Genomic DNA, 15,421 nt, shown 5'->3' on the forward strand with positions numbered 1-15,421 from the left:
GTAAAATAATCTCATCAACTTAAATTTTCAATACACTTAACTTTGGCAAAGTTCTATAAATCTTGAAATTTAAGTGTTTTATATTCATTATAAGTAAAAGCACTCAAAATATTACTCTATACCAAAGCTAAAAATTGATATAGAAAAGAAGTATCAGACAGAAATAACTAATAAAACATCATTACAAAAGTACCATGTCCACGGACTTTACCTAACATTGTACACATTAAGGAAAGAAGACTTTCAGGACTACAAAACAAGTATCAGCTTGTTCCAGTTAATTTTGCTTTAAAGTGTCCTCATTTAAAAAAATAAATAAAAGGGACAGTTCCCCAGACAATAGTTGTAACCATTCTTCAGCTGCTTATTAATAATCATAAATTAACTTTGTGAAATATAGCAATTTAGAGAAAACTTCTATCACTCAATCAAGTCTTACAGAAACAATTAAAAATTTTGTAATTTGAAAATGTTTTCCTGCCCAAGTATCACTGACTTGTGACAGTAAACACTAGTAGTAAGTCTTCTTACAATGCTCTACAGGAAAAAAAAAAAAAAAAAAAAAATTAAAACTTCTTTCTTACAAACACAGAGAAAAATCTAAAGATTAATTTTACTCCAAATGAGTCTAGGAACCCCAAACAAAAGTACTTAGGATGAAATGATAAAGTTTAGAATGCTCATGTTATAAAAATTCTATGAGTCCTCTAAGGGGACTTAAAAACCAGGAAAATGTGGCAAGAAGGGCAATTTGAACTTTTATAGCCTTAAAAATCTCTTAAGCAGAAAAGAAGTATTTTGCAATCACAAATTTTGGGTAACTGAATAAAAAACATTTTTATAGTTGTAGTCTAGATCATAAAGAACATAGAAAAGGTTGGTGAAGCACAACTAAATCGGCAGGTCATACTACCGAAAAATTGTACCTCTCAAAAAACAGCTTTATATGGAAAAAAATGACAATAACCTATTTGTTTTTCATGTAAAATCTAGGCAGCCTATTTACATTTCCTATGATTTTTTAAATTTTTGGGTCAGTAAAATAAATACACTGACTATAGACATTTCTAGGTGAAAAATTATAATAAAACTGGAATCCTTGGCTTCCAGGATTGCAACATTTATTATTAAATAATCAGGTTTAGGAGTGGAAACTGAGAGAAAGCAATGCCGTGTATATTTGTACTACCAGCACAATTTTGTTATATTAAAATTTTTATTTATAATCTCAGAAATGGAAAAAGAAGAAAGAAAAAAAAGATAAAGGAGTAAAAAACTTTTTAGATCCCAATAATGATGATTTACTACTAACTTTAGTCTTGTTTCTGTCACTTTCTAACTGGATAAATTTAGCCAAGTGACCTCATTTTCTCATCTATAACTGATGGTAAGGTTAAAAAAAAGTATTTAAGTGTAGTAGAAAAAGTAAAACATTCCAAAGAAATATAAAGTGGGGTATTTTTAGTCAAAGAAAAGAGGTCTTTGGTTGTTAGTTTCTTTTCTATTTTAGGCACAATAAACCCATGCAGGAAAGAAAATCAGTTTGAAGCAGGAAAACAAAAGTGACAGGCAACTGCATAATTCTTACCTGCGTACATATGGTACGTAAGCCTCTCTATAAGTTTAATAACAGTTCCTGCTTTGATAATTGGAATTCCAGCCTTGGGCTGCATGTTCTCTTCAAATATAATATTCTCTTCAGAGTCAGGCTCTGCAAATCTATAAACATCAGCACTAGGCAGCCTCATCTGCTCCTCTTTCTCTTCCTGTAGCATTGTTACATCAAGCATCCTTTCCAGTGTACTCCGGTACTGTAAAGATATCAATGCTGCCATCCAATTGTTTTTCTCTTCAGCTGACTTGGCAGAAAATATAACACTATTTTCATCTTTTAAAATTATTTCAAAAGCATGCTTGTATTCATTGGTGTCATCTTTATCATTAATTTGTACCTTTCGCATAAAAAACTTTTCTTTAAGACGATATTCTGCATTGCTAGCACCAGGAAGTCTTGGCTGCCCATGATTTGATTTACAGCAAATCATTAAGCCATCAAAGAGAAATATGTGTCTCTCATGTTTGGCTCCTACACGTGTAAGAGTTCCTTCCATTATAAATTCATTACAACACTGTCCAATGTCTTTTCCCTCCCAACCATCAATATTCTTCTGAATCTCGTTCATCTTCTTGATTGCTAGTTGTTTCCCCTTCATTTGCTGACTATAAAACCGACATGCAGATTCACTGGAATAAAGAAAAAGACATTATTAGTACATAGATGACAGAAAACCTAGAGCTCATGTAAGTAAGGGAAAGTGTAAAAGTAGATTTTTACAAGTCTCACTGAGAAGGTATTCACTAATTCCCCAAATAGATTAGAATTACAAAATTACACAATTTTGAAAATTAAAGCAACCTAGAAATTTTTTTCAGTGTTCTAAAAAGCACAATGATTGCTGACAAAATTCTCCTTAAATGTAACTACAAAATGATTATTTCTATCTTGGCTACTAAATATTTAGAATGACAACTAATAAAAAGTAGCCCAATACAGTAAAAAAAAGTAATCTGAAAGATTAAAATAAATTATTTAGAAGAGTTTAAATGGACAAGACCCAAAGCTAAAAACATGTAGCACATATTATAATCAGGAAAGTGGAAGCAATGTTATCTGAATTAATGCCTCAAGTTATATAATCCCTAAAATAAAGGACACTAATAATTTTACTTTGACAGAATAACGATGCCAACATAAATCTACCCGATACATTTTACTCTGTCTCTCCTTCAGCTTACCAGTTGACTCTCAGGAGGTCTTGTCTGGGAGTATGCAAGGAAAATGCACAAATATGAAAGGTTTTTCAAACAATAACAATTCTCTTGGCTTTGATGTCACTTCCTCTAAAAGACCAGGCTTGTCACTAAAACTATTTTCTTCATTGTTTACTTGAGGAGGGAACTGGGATCCCTGAATTTACACCACAATATTCAGGGAAAAAAGGATATTTTAAAAAGTAAAAATATTCACCTCAGTCTTCGTTTTGCAAGACTTTTAGAACATATTTTTTCCATACCACTCTGAACATTAAGCAAAGCTGTTATTGCTTGTTTTAAACATTCCTTGTCTTCTTGATCTTCACTTTTTTCTTCTAACTGCTGTAAAGCCAAAATGACAAATCTGAACCAGTAGTACATTTTTGGATAAAATAATAATAAACTCATTTAAGGATAAAAATAACATTTATTCAACTGTCACAATAAAAATTTTAAATGTGTCATCAAATATTCTTTTTAAAAGTGTTTTTCTTGTGTGTTACTATTAATACACAACCAAGTTTTCTACATTAAAAGACCAAGATTAGCAGTGTTAAGATGGGTTATATCTTGTGACAGGCAGTAATATGTAGTTTTTCAAGGTGCATACCACTGAAAAGAAATGGGGAGCATAATCGATCTACTGAATTATCATAGAGTTAGCATACCACTAAGCATGTAGACGAGGTTTTTTTTTTTTTAAGTGTGGAATTTGGTCTTAGGTTTCTGACCCCTATATTATTGTTATATAATATTGAGATGATAAGGAAGATAAATATACAGAGAACGATGCAATATAGTAGAAGGAATCTCAATTACAAAATCTAGGATCAAATTTTGACTCTACTTCTGTGTGACCTTGGGGCAAGTCACTTGATCTCTGAGTCTTACTTTTCCCATTTGCCAAATAAGGCTTATAAAAAGCCTACCCTGCCTACTTTTAGGGGTTGTTATTAAAAACCAAAGCACTTTGTAAATGGTAACACACAATGTAAGTGTAAATGGTTTTCTTTGTAATTATACTACAGAATTAACATTAGTATAATAAAGAACTTTGTCCATATCCACATTAAGATTTTGAGTGAAGCTATAATATACATATTTATGAAACTGAAACTCAAGCATATTTTCTATTACTGGCAAATATCTGTGTCAGACAGAACGTCTCTACTTAACAAGAACTAAGTCATCAGTAACTAATTGTCAATACAGTAAGGTGGCTATGATTCAAGCAAGCACTTAACAGATGTATGAGTCACAATAATTCACTCATACATCTTAAACCTGTTCCTGGTTACCAAAAGGAAAAGTTAAGAAATCACATATTGGCTGGCTGCAATGGCCTATGCCTATAATCTCAGCACTTTGGGAGGCCCAGGTGGGAGGATCGCTTAAGCCTACGAGTTTGAGATACCGTCTATTAAAATAAAATAAAATAACATTTTATCAATAGAGTTTTCATCCAACAATTTAGGAATACCTACTCTCTACCATGAATGAAAAGACTTGAGATACACAATCATGAAATATTCAAAGTGATTTATAAAGAAGTTTATTTTTCTTTTTTTTTTTTAGATGGAGTCTTGCTCTGTACCCCAGGCTAGGGTGCAGCGGTGCAATCTCAGCTCACTGCAACCTCTGCCTCCCAGCTTCAAGTAGTTCTCCTGCCTCAGCCTCCCGAGTAGCTGCGATTACGGGTGTCTGTCACCACACCTGACTGATTTTTTTTTTTTTTTTTACTTCTAGTAGAGACAAGTTTTCACCATGTTAGCCAGGCTGGTCTCAAACTCCTGACCTCAAGTGATCTGCCTGCTTCGGCCTCCCAAAGTGCTGGGATTACAGGCGTAAGCCACCATGCCTGGCTAGAAGTTTACTTTTCAATTAGCTTAAGTATTCATTAGTACATTAGTACTTTAAGGATTTTGTGTTTTTCACAGGTATTCCTTAAAGGTCAACAACACATTCCTTTCTGCTTCAATTGATAAAAATCAGTTACATGCATGCGCATGCACATACCACATGCACTGATGACCTGTGAAAAGTAAACAGATTTCTTACTTATATTCTAAACCATTTTTATTAAAATTTACTTAAAATACTTTAATGGTCAAATATTCTAGAAGTAATGAATACCATATTGTAATGTTTAATACTTAGCTTTTATTATCCAGATTTCTTATATTCATTATTAAAAACTCACCATACTTTCTACTAGAGGCATAATCTACATTTTTAGGAAAATTTTCAGTCTTAACTGTGTTAAGTAAAAGAAAAATTTAGGCTGGGCACGGTGGTTCATGCCTGTAATCCCAGCACTTTGGGAGGCTGAGGCGGGGGGATCACGAGGTCAGGAGTTTGAGACCAGCCTGGCCAATATGGTAAAACCCCGTCTCTACTAAAAATACAAAAATTAGCTGGGTGTGGTGGCACACGCCTGTAGTCCCAGCTACTCGGGAGGCTGAGGCAGAAGAATCGCCTGAACTCAGGGGTCAGAGGTTGCAGTGAGCCGTGATCGTGCCACTGCACTCCAGCCTGGGCAACAGAGTGAGACTCCGTCTCAAAAAAAAAAAAAAAAAAAACAGAAAAATTTATTCCTAACAATTCTCAACATAAAAAGGGTAACGAAAGATATTTTCCAAAGGATAAGAGACTTTAAAAGTGTACATATTAATACAAAAATCAAATATCTTTTATTCATAATATTGTTCTTCAATATGGCCAGCTAGATTAAAGAAAGCCAATGGCCAGGGTTCATAAAGAAAGATACTAGGTTTTTACTTAACAGATATTACTAGTAGGCTGAAGGCTGGAATCCAGGTAATCTCTCAAAGTACCTTCCATCCCTATCATTTGAAACTATTTGCCTCTCACATGGCAGAATTCTGGGAGACAAATAAAATGTTACCATTAAACATTATCAAGTTTAGTCTTTAAAGCAGCAGATAATCTAACATTGAAAGCTATATACCAGGGGTATCCAATATTTTGGCTTCCCTGGGCCAAACTGGAAGAATTATTATCTTGGGCCACACATAAAATATACTAACACTAACGAGAGCTGATGAGCTTTTTAAAAATTGCAAAAAAATCTCATAATGTTTTAAGAAAGTTTACAAATTTGTGTTGGGCCGGGGGTTAGACAAGCTTGCTGTATACCTTAAGGCAAATTTAATGAAAGCACCACTGAACGATGAATTAGTTCACTGAGTTGATTGAGAATTTAATCACTCAAAAGCAAAGCCCAGAGAAATTCAAGTCAGTAAGATACAAGGCAATTTTTCGGTCTTAAATAACTAACAGGTAGCAGAATATTGAGCATTTGATATTTTGTCCTGGATACATTTTTTATATTTTTAATTCAGGAAAACATACCTAATGGTAGACAAAATATATAATTCTCATACACATAAAAATATTTATAAAAGAAAAAATCCACTTGGACATCCTTTGATTTTCTATCCTAAAAATGTTTCAAGTTTTGGAATCATTTATCTACTATTTAACTGTAGCATTTTACATACAGAATATTCTGGTATCTCAAAAATGTTAATATTTTAAAAGCCACAAACCCAAAGTACATTTCAAACCCATAAAACTTTCCTGATGAAATACTTTTAAAATGTCATTTTTACCTTTATAGCATTAGGCAAGCCTCTAAAATAAATTTCAGTGTAATAAATGACCTTTCTTCTACCACTTTTTGCTTCTTTTACTTAACATAGCTAATTTAAACTTGGCACTGGTGCAATATAATTCAAGCTAACTACCATCAAAAGGGTGGCTTATTGTGGCTACAGAGACAAAGCAGTGGCAATTAGTATGTAAATGAGACTCAACAAAGCAGCATCCTCTTGTTACCAGTGATATTCAATACCATGCTTTTCATGAGTGCCTATTTAATAATAATGTGCAATAGTAACAATTACATTTGTACAAAGGCAGTTTATTTGAATAGTTTTAAAAAAAGTACTAAATCCTGAGATTATATTACCATATGAGATTGTACTTAAACTCATCTAGGGAATCATATTATTATTTTTTTTTTTTTTTTGAGATGGAGTCTTGTTCTGTCTCCCAGGCTGGAGTGCAGTGGCACAATCTTAGCTCACTGCAACCTCCACACCTCCCAGGTTCAAGCGATTCTCCTACCTCAGCCTCCAGAGTAGCTGGGATTACAGCTGCGTGTTACCACACCCAGAAAATTTTTGTATTTTTAGTAGAGACAGGGTTTTGCCATGTTGGCCAGGCTGGTCTCGAACTCCTTGGCCTCCCAAAGTACTGGGATTACAGGCATGAGCCACTGTGCCCAGCCAGGAATCATATTTTAAAGCAGAATGAAAACTCATATGCTCTATTGAGATGATAAAATTTAACTTTTCACAAGAAAGAAACCACTTTTACCAGTGACGAATTTTTTTGGTCCCTTAGAAATAAGTAAAGAGGCAATAGTCAATATGGTGTGTTCCATATGCAAAGGAAACCCTGGGAGATAAATGGGATTAAATGTAAGGAGCTGTCAAAAGAAAAAGCTACAATGAATATAAAGAATATAGCAGTATTCAGGAGACTAAAACTCAAGAGTGTTTGATACATAAAAAATAAATTGTTGTACCCAGTGCATTTTATATGCTCAATTCACTCACAATCATATAATGGCTTCCCTTTGATTAAAAAAAGGAATGCTTGAATTCGTTTTTATTCCTTGGAATTAATTTCCTCCAACATGGCATTGTATACAACGAAGGAACTACCATTTACTTGAAGGCACTAACAGGCAGGTACTAGATCCACAATTCTTGACTTTCAGTCCCGTGACTTTTCACTATAATAGGTACCCAAATAACTGAAATGACTTTGAAAAACCTCAATATTCACTAAATAAAACCTATTCCATAGAACAGGTAAATTGCAATGCACAAGAATGACAAAGTATACACCCAAGAAATATACATTGTAATTGTCTAACATTTGGGATATAAAAATAAAGATCTCCATTTATTTTAAATATTATATACATAGAGCTCATCACAACGTAACAGAACACAAGCAAAGATTAGGTTCACATTTCGATTTTGGAATGTTATTTGCATACCGTTTGATGAGACACCACAGTGGATTACAACATAGAAAATGCAAAGAGTAACACTTGATTTACTAGCCCTCTTAGCAAATGTATGAAATATTATCCAAATTATTCCAGAACTAATTAACTAACTGCTGTGTAATTCAAGGCTTTTGCTCCTGTTTGCCATGACATCATTTTAAACATTCCACTAAAAGCTGAGGGAAAGAAAGGTCATGACATTCAAATAAATTATTATTTTATGGTACCAGCACACCTAAAAGGTATGGGTGGAGAAGATGAAATTCTTAATTAAAACGAAATTTCAATTCCAAACATTAAACAGGCAATCAACCCTAAAAAATGTTACGATATGTCATTTATGAAAACATATCTTTTAAAACCACCTCTCTGTTCTAATCAGAGAAAACATCACTAACTACAAATGTACCTCACAGCAGTCAAGTTTATTTAAAATTAAAAATTGGCCAGGTATAGTGGCTCACACCTGTAATCCCAGCATTTTGGGAGGCTGAGGTGGGCAGATCACTTGAGTCCAGGAGTTCAAGACTAGCCTGGACAACATAGCCAGATGCCGTCTCTACCAGAAAATAAAATTAGCCAGGCATGGTGGCGCACAACCAGAGTCCCAGCTACTCAGGAGGCTGAGGTAGGTGGATTAATTGAGCCTGGGAGGTTGAGGATGCAGTGAGCAGTGACTGTACCACTGCACTCCAGCCTGGGTGACAGAGTGAGACCCTGTCTCAAAAACAAAACAAAACAAAAAACAAAACCCCAAACACCAAAACCAAAAAATTAAATTAAAAATTGGAGTAATACAATAGTTAGCTGTTTGTTTACAATGGCTCCTGTGGTACGCTATCCTATGTTTAACTTTAGACATTCAACATTTGTGGTCAGCTCCAATACCATGTAGCTTTGAGCCGATGGTTTCTAGATAAGAATTTCTGAATTTAGAAAGCTGGTTCAAGGGAATGTACACTAGAGAGAACCTCCATTGATTCTCCACCAGACTCGGTGGCTTACGCCTATAATCCCTGTACTTTGGGAGGTCTAGGTGGGAGAAGCCCTTGAGCCCAGAAGTTTGAGACCACCCTGGGCAACAGAGCGACGTCTCATCTCTACAAATAAAAATTTTAAAAAATTAGCCAGGCGTGGTGGCATGTGCCTACGGTCCTAGCTACTTGTGAGGCTGAGGAATCACTTGAGCCCAGGTGGTCGAGGTTACAGTGAGCTGTGATAGCACCACTGCAATCCAGCCTGGGTGACAGAACAAGACTCCATCTCAATAAATAAATAAATAAAAATAAAAAATATAAGATCAGGATGAAATGATTAATTGGCCTAACACAAAAAAAGAAAACAGAAAAAAAAAAAAAAAAGCGAAAGAGGGGGAAAGAAAAGGCTGGGTGCATTGGCTCATGCCATTAACCCCAGCACTTTCGGAGGCCAATGTGGGAAGATCCCTTGAGCCCAGGAGTTTGAGATCAGCCTGGGCAACAAAATGGGACCTTGTCTCTACAAAAAAATAATTTAAAAAAATTAGTTGGGCATGGTAGTGCATGCCTGTAGTCTCAGTTACTTGGGAGGCTGAGATGAGAAGATTGTTTGAGCCCATGAGTTCCAGACTGTAGCAAGCTATGATCATACCACTGCGCTCCAGCCTGGGTGACAGAGCGAGACCTATCTCTAAAAAAGAGGGATGGGGGTGTTAGGGGGAAGCCAGCGTATAAAGCCAATGTAGCCAGTGTATATGCTGGAGAATCAGAACAACAAAAATTTAATTTTTATAGTGTACCAAAAACTTATTGTTAAGGGTTGAATTGTGTCCCCCATGAAAGATGTATTCAAGTCCTAACCCCTGGTACCTATGAATGTGATCTTCTTTGGAAATAGGATCTTGGCAGATGTAATCAAGTTGAGATGAGATCATCTTGGATTAGGGTGAGCCCTAAATCCACTGACTTGGTGTCTTTGTAAGAGAAAGGAAAGCGAGATTTGGATGCAGACACATAGAGAAGAACGTGAAGCTGTGAAGAAGCTGATGTGCAGATGGAGGCAAAGACGGGAGTGATGGCATCTATAAGCCAAGGACCACCAAGAATCGCTGGGGTCCACCAGAAGCTAGGCAGAGGCAGCAGGGATTCTTCCTTAGAGCCTTTAGAGAAAGTGTGGCCCTGCCCACACCCTGATTTCAGATTCCTCACCTCCAGAACTGTGAAAGAATAAATTTCTGTTGTTTATAAGCCTCTGACTTCGTGGTACTTTGCTGTGGCAGCCTTAGGAAACCAAATACACTCATGTACACACAACAACATAGACTTCAACCTGAATTTTAAAATAGAGGGAAACTTACTTTCCCCTAGGTTACAAGGACCCAGCATACAAGAAAAAGAATAGGCAATTCTCTAGGGAATTCAAAGTCATCCTGGATGGTTTTTTCTAAGGTTTGTTTGGGTGCATCTTGGGGAGAGGGAGATAAAATCCCATGTATAAGGAACAAAGAAAAAGTTAATACCTTTGTGGAACCAAACATGTACTGATTTGCTAACCTTTAAAATATTGGTCAGGCCAGGTGTGGGGGCTCGCACCTATAATCCCAGCACTTTGGGAGGCCGAGGTGGGCAGATCACTTGAGGTCAGGAGTTCGTGACCAGCCTGGCCAACATGGCAAAACCCTTTGTCTACTAAAAATACAAAAATTAGCCAGGCGTAGTGGCGGGCGTCTGTAATTCCAGCTACTTGGGAAGCAGGAGAATCACTTCAGACCGCAAGGCAGAGTTTGCAGTGAGCCAAGATCTTGCCACTGCACTCAAGCCTGGGCGACAGAGTGAGACTCTGTCTCAAAATAAAATAAAAATAAAATAAAATACTGGTCAATATATTTACTTAGCCCCAAGAAAGAAATCTAAATTTGTTTAATGAAGTAAATTAAACTTCACATACAAAAATCACATTATTGAAGCAATATGGTTTTCAAAAGGGCACAAAGGAAGTTTTTTTACTTCATAAAAAAATTAACTTTAACTTTTCAAGTTAAAGAGTGAAGACTTGACTGCTATCTTTAACTGCTGAAGGAAAGAGTATTTTTTCAGTGTCAGCAGCATTAAAGTCACACTATTTTTAATTTATTTTTTAATCAACAAGTAAAAATCATATGTTTATGGTATATAATAGGATCTTTTGATAGATGTATATAATCTGGAATGGCTACATCAAGCTACTTAAAACATGTGCATTAACACATACTTTTTTTCGTGGTGAGAACACAATATCTACTTTCTTAGCAGTTTTCAAATATGCAATGTATTGTTATTAACTGTAGTTACCATGATGTACGATAGATCTCTTGAATTTACACCTCCTAACTGAAATTTTGTGTCATTTGACCAGTATCTCCCTACTCCCCTACCCTCCAGCCTCTGGTAACCACCATTTTATTGTTTCTTTGTGTTCAACAGTCTTATACTATTAATAGCTAAACTTATCTTTTGACTTTGTAAAGTTTAAGGCATTCTACCTAAGTTTCCAAAATAAAGGTAATTATATAAAATTTACAGTTAAACTTTCTTTAAAATATAAGACATAAGAATTTAAAGGAAAATGTATATATATTTTTTGCCACTCATTTTTTAACAAGCATTTATTGAAAGCCTAAATGCCAGACACTGTAATAGGTATGAGAATTCAAAGATAATAGGGCTCCATTCTTCACAGAGCAAACAGTTGAATGATAAGGCAGACAATAAAAATGGAACAAGTTCTCTAAAGAGATGTATGTAAAGAAAGGAAGGAACTCACTCTGGGCATGATGACTCACACCTGAAATCCTAGCACTTTTGGGAGGCTGAGGTGGGCGGATCACCTGAGGTCAAGAGTTCGAGACCAGCCTGGCCTACATGGTGAAACCCTGTCTCTACTAAAAATACAAAATTAGTCGGCTGTGGTGGCACACACCTTTAATTAATCCCAGCTGCTTGGGAAGCTGAGGCAGGAGAATCGCTCGAAGCTGGGAGGCAGAGGTTGCAGTGAGCTGAGATCATGCCACTGCACTCCAGCCTGGAGAGGGTAGAAGAGGAATTCCAGATAAATGGGAAAAAAGAACAAGCGAAGAGGCAGTAATATGAACCGGGATACCCATGGAACCCTGAACACATTTGGCATATCCAGGGCTGCTAGGAAATTCTTTTTCTTCTTTTTTTTTTTTTCGAGATGGAGTTTTGCTCTTTTTGCCCAGGCTGAAGTGCAATGGCGTGATCTTGGCTCACTGCAACCTTCGCCTCCCAGGTTCAGGTGATTCTCCTGCCTCAGCTTCCTGAGTATCTGGGATTATAGGTGTGCAGAAAAAAAAAAAAAAAAAGTGATGAGAGTCTTGTGGACTAATTAGACAAAATTTCCTGCCCAATATACTGCTAACTTTGCAATATAACTTAGGCAGTAATACGAACAAGGGATACACATGCTTAAATCAGTAGAAATCTTAAATTGCTAAATGATGCACTTATTAAAATTCTATTAATGTAAGTTATAATTTTAGAAATTTTAATTGCCTACACTTGAAGGAGTAAAAATTTCTTTTATATTATTAAGATGATTGGGTTTTATAGCCTTCTGAACTTTCATCAAAGCTTCTTGGGTTCATTTGGAGGGGAAGGTTGTTTTGTTTTGTATTTTTGAGACAGGGGCTTGCTCTGTTTCTCAGGCTGGAGTACAGAGGCGTGGTCATGGCTCACTGCAGCCTCGACCTCCTGAGCTCAAGTGTTCCTCCTGCCCAGCCTTTTGAGTAGCTGGAACCACAGGTGTGCACCACCATTCCTGGCTAATTTTATTTCTATTTTTGTAGAGACAGGGTCTTGCCATGTTGCCCAAGCTGGTCTTGAACACCTGGGCTCAAGCAATCCTCCTGTCTTAGCCTCCCAAAGTGCTGGAACTACAGGCGTGTGCCAACACACCTGGCATTCTTGTTTTTATTTATAAACTGATAACGGCCTTAAGATTTTATATGGCCTTTGAATCTTTCTGAATTTCATTACAGGCTCAGGTTAAAAAAAAAAAAATCCCGTTATTAGAGAAACCATTACAAAGAAAAATTCTATATAACAAAACAGTGTGTAAATGTCCCATTATAACTATAGTTAGTAATAATGAATTCTTTCTAAAGATTTTACATACTAAATGCTTCCTCTCTTGATTATCCTCTTAAGATACTCATCCTGTATTTCCAAAGACCTTAAATGGTATGCTATTGCTAAGAGCTTTGTCATTTCTGCCTAGTGATTAAAAATACCTTTTAACTCCCTTAGTCCTTTCTCAATGTAAACATTCCTAATTGAGAAATCAAACTGAATTCCAAATGACTACTATGCAGTGCAGAGACCTGAGAAAATGTAAGGATGAGAGTTCCTCCAGTTTACTGTTAATAAATTCACAGACCTTCTATTCATTCATTGATTCATTACAGAGAGCCCATTTTATCATCTGCAAACTATAAATATGATTTCCAGTAATATATTCTCTGTGAAAGAATCATGATACTAAACAGAAGTTTTCTTTGATGAAACAAATACTCATTTGAAAGCTAAAGAAATAATAACGCTATTAATGCATGTCTTCTTTTGTCTTTACAAGGCTAGTCCATTAAAGGTAGAGAGAATATCACTTTGAGCTACACTATTGAATTATAATTTATACAGACTTTTATTTAATTTCAGTATATAACAGGAAAAGAAAAAAGAGACAACCCCTTTCCTTTCAGTCAGTGCTTAGTATTTTGAACTGTGATCAAATGGGCAATTTTTACTGAGATTACAGAAATTTATTGTTTCTAAAGTAATGATAAACAGTTTAATACAGATAGTTGCAAACTTGAGCTATGAAAGTCAGGTAAACTAACCTTCCCCATTACTTTGGCCTTATCCTCACACTGGCTCCCTTATCCTCACACTGAGTCCCTGAGTCTGCTGAGGTCCCCAAATGGAAACTGCGATGCATAAATCCAAGGTTGTTTTCAAAGAATCAGCCATGTAAACAAAAAGTAAAGGTACAAGACAAAAATATCTGACAATTGCTTTAACATTCACTAAAAAACCAAAAATAAAAAAAAGAAAAAACAAAAAACAAAAAAATTAAAAAACAACAAAAATAAAATTCACTACTAAGACGAGAAAATATGCTACTCTTTTGCAGACTGATTTCCATTTGCTTCTTGACTGGAAAAAGAAAACAGAAACACACTAATGTGCAGGGTACTCACACAATAATTTACAAATGAAGTAGCAAAAAAAAAAATTCACACTTGAATATGTTACAAATAACAATAAAGAGTTTTCTTACCTTCAAAAGTTCAAAGTAATGGAGACAGTGGTAAACAGGGGCCAGAAGCAGCCTGGGTAAAACATATTGAACAGCTTCTTTGAAACCTTCGCCTATTGACTGGAAAAAAAAGTGATTTAATTTTTTTTTTAAGTTTACTTTTCAGACATTGTACATCTTCATTTAAAAATTACTATACCTGCAAATAAAGTGCTGCCCCAGGCTTTGATAACTGACTAAGGAAACGATCATGAAAACCAGGTCGCAAAATATCTCGAGCATACGATTCATATGGATCAAATGCCAGTTCCTTAGAAAATAAAGAAGGTAAAACATAAATAATTTACCATTACAAACACAGAAAGATTTAATTATGGGGCACGACTATGCGAGCACAATTATGTATGTCTTTGAAAGTCTCTAAGCAAAAATTATATGACTACTAATTATAATTTTAATAGAAGAGATCCCAATATTCTCAAGTAAGAGAGTAAATCAGTTCTTTCTGATGAATAATAAAATCCTTATATGTTATAACAGCTCTCATTAAAGGTTTCCAGTAGAGTATTATCAACAAACATGGCCATAAGAGTGGGCAGACTTTTGGTTCTAGAAAACAAATCTTAACTTGACAACAACAAAGAATATAGATATGTACAACTAGGTAAGGTATAAACATTTAGAATACTGAAGCCAGACATGTTTTTATAGTTCTCAGTGGTGGACATGTACTTTCGTATTCTATAAACCAGAAGTAACAGTTCATGTCATCTAAAATTCATTGTGATAATTTCACAAAACAATTAAACAAAATCCGAACTGCCCAAAATTTTGCCATCATTAATATCACCAATCAATAAACTAAATTCTAATGGCTCAGTTAAAAAGACCAGAATCTACTGGTTTTGAAGATTTCTGGGGAAAAAGAGAGTAGGTATCTTGATTTTAGCAGGAGAAATAGAGTCGCTACTCTTCTATCTTGTATAAAACTATTATGAAAATGGTGCTCTAGATTCTAGCATGAGCTCATTTCCATAAAGGGTAATTCTAGCAAGAGGAATAGGACATCTAGTGGAGGAGCATAGTAGAAAAAGGCAGAAGGGAATGAAACAACGAAAGGTTGTTATGAATTAAATCACCCTTAATGTTATTTTTCAGATTGCTTTTTTTTTGAAACAGGATCTTGGTCTTACTCTGTCACCCAGGCTAGAG

The 15,421-nt window shown here is 35.4% G+C and overlaps 1 protein-coding gene across 9 annotated transcripts in view, besides 1 other annotated feature; it reads right to left on the minus strand.

Annotated features, from left to right (window-relative positions):
- Positions 1-15,421, minus strand: part of SOS1 (SOS Ras/Rac guanine nucleotide exchange factor 1) — a 143,320-nt gene that overhangs the window by 39,433 nt on the left and 88,466 nt on the right. For 8 of the 9 annotated variants that reach the window (XM_047445581.1, NM_001382394.1, NM_001382395.1 and 5 more), the window contains exons 7-10: positions 14,409-14,519; positions 14,231-14,329; positions 3,029-3,156; positions 1,589-2,244 (exon numbers count right to left, since the gene is read on the minus strand). In XM_047445581.1, coding sequence (XP_047301537.1) covers positions 1,589-2,244; positions 3,029-3,156; positions 14,231-14,329; positions 14,409-14,519 — 994 coding nt within the window. Of the gene's footprint in view, positions 1-1,588; positions 2,245-3,028; positions 3,157-13,790; positions 13,815-14,230; positions 14,330-14,408; positions 14,520-15,421 lie in introns of those variants that run through there. The other variant, XM_047445585.1, reaches the window with a different exon arrangement.
- Positions 11,543-11,743: a silencer, noted in NCBI's record as "peak3669 fragment used in MPRA reporter construct". NCBI's record gives its function as "represses an SCP1 promoter by STARR-seq MPRAs in K562 erythroleukemia cells {active_cell/tissue: K562}" and the evidence as "EXISTENCE:reporter gene assay evidence [ECO:0000049][PMID:32103011]".

This window comes from Homo sapiens, chromosome 2 (assembly GCF_000001405.40).
Source record: "Homo sapiens chromosome 2, GRCh38.p14 Primary Assembly".
Lineage (NCBI taxonomy): Eukaryota > Metazoa > Chordata > Mammalia > Primates > Hominidae > Homo > Homo sapiens.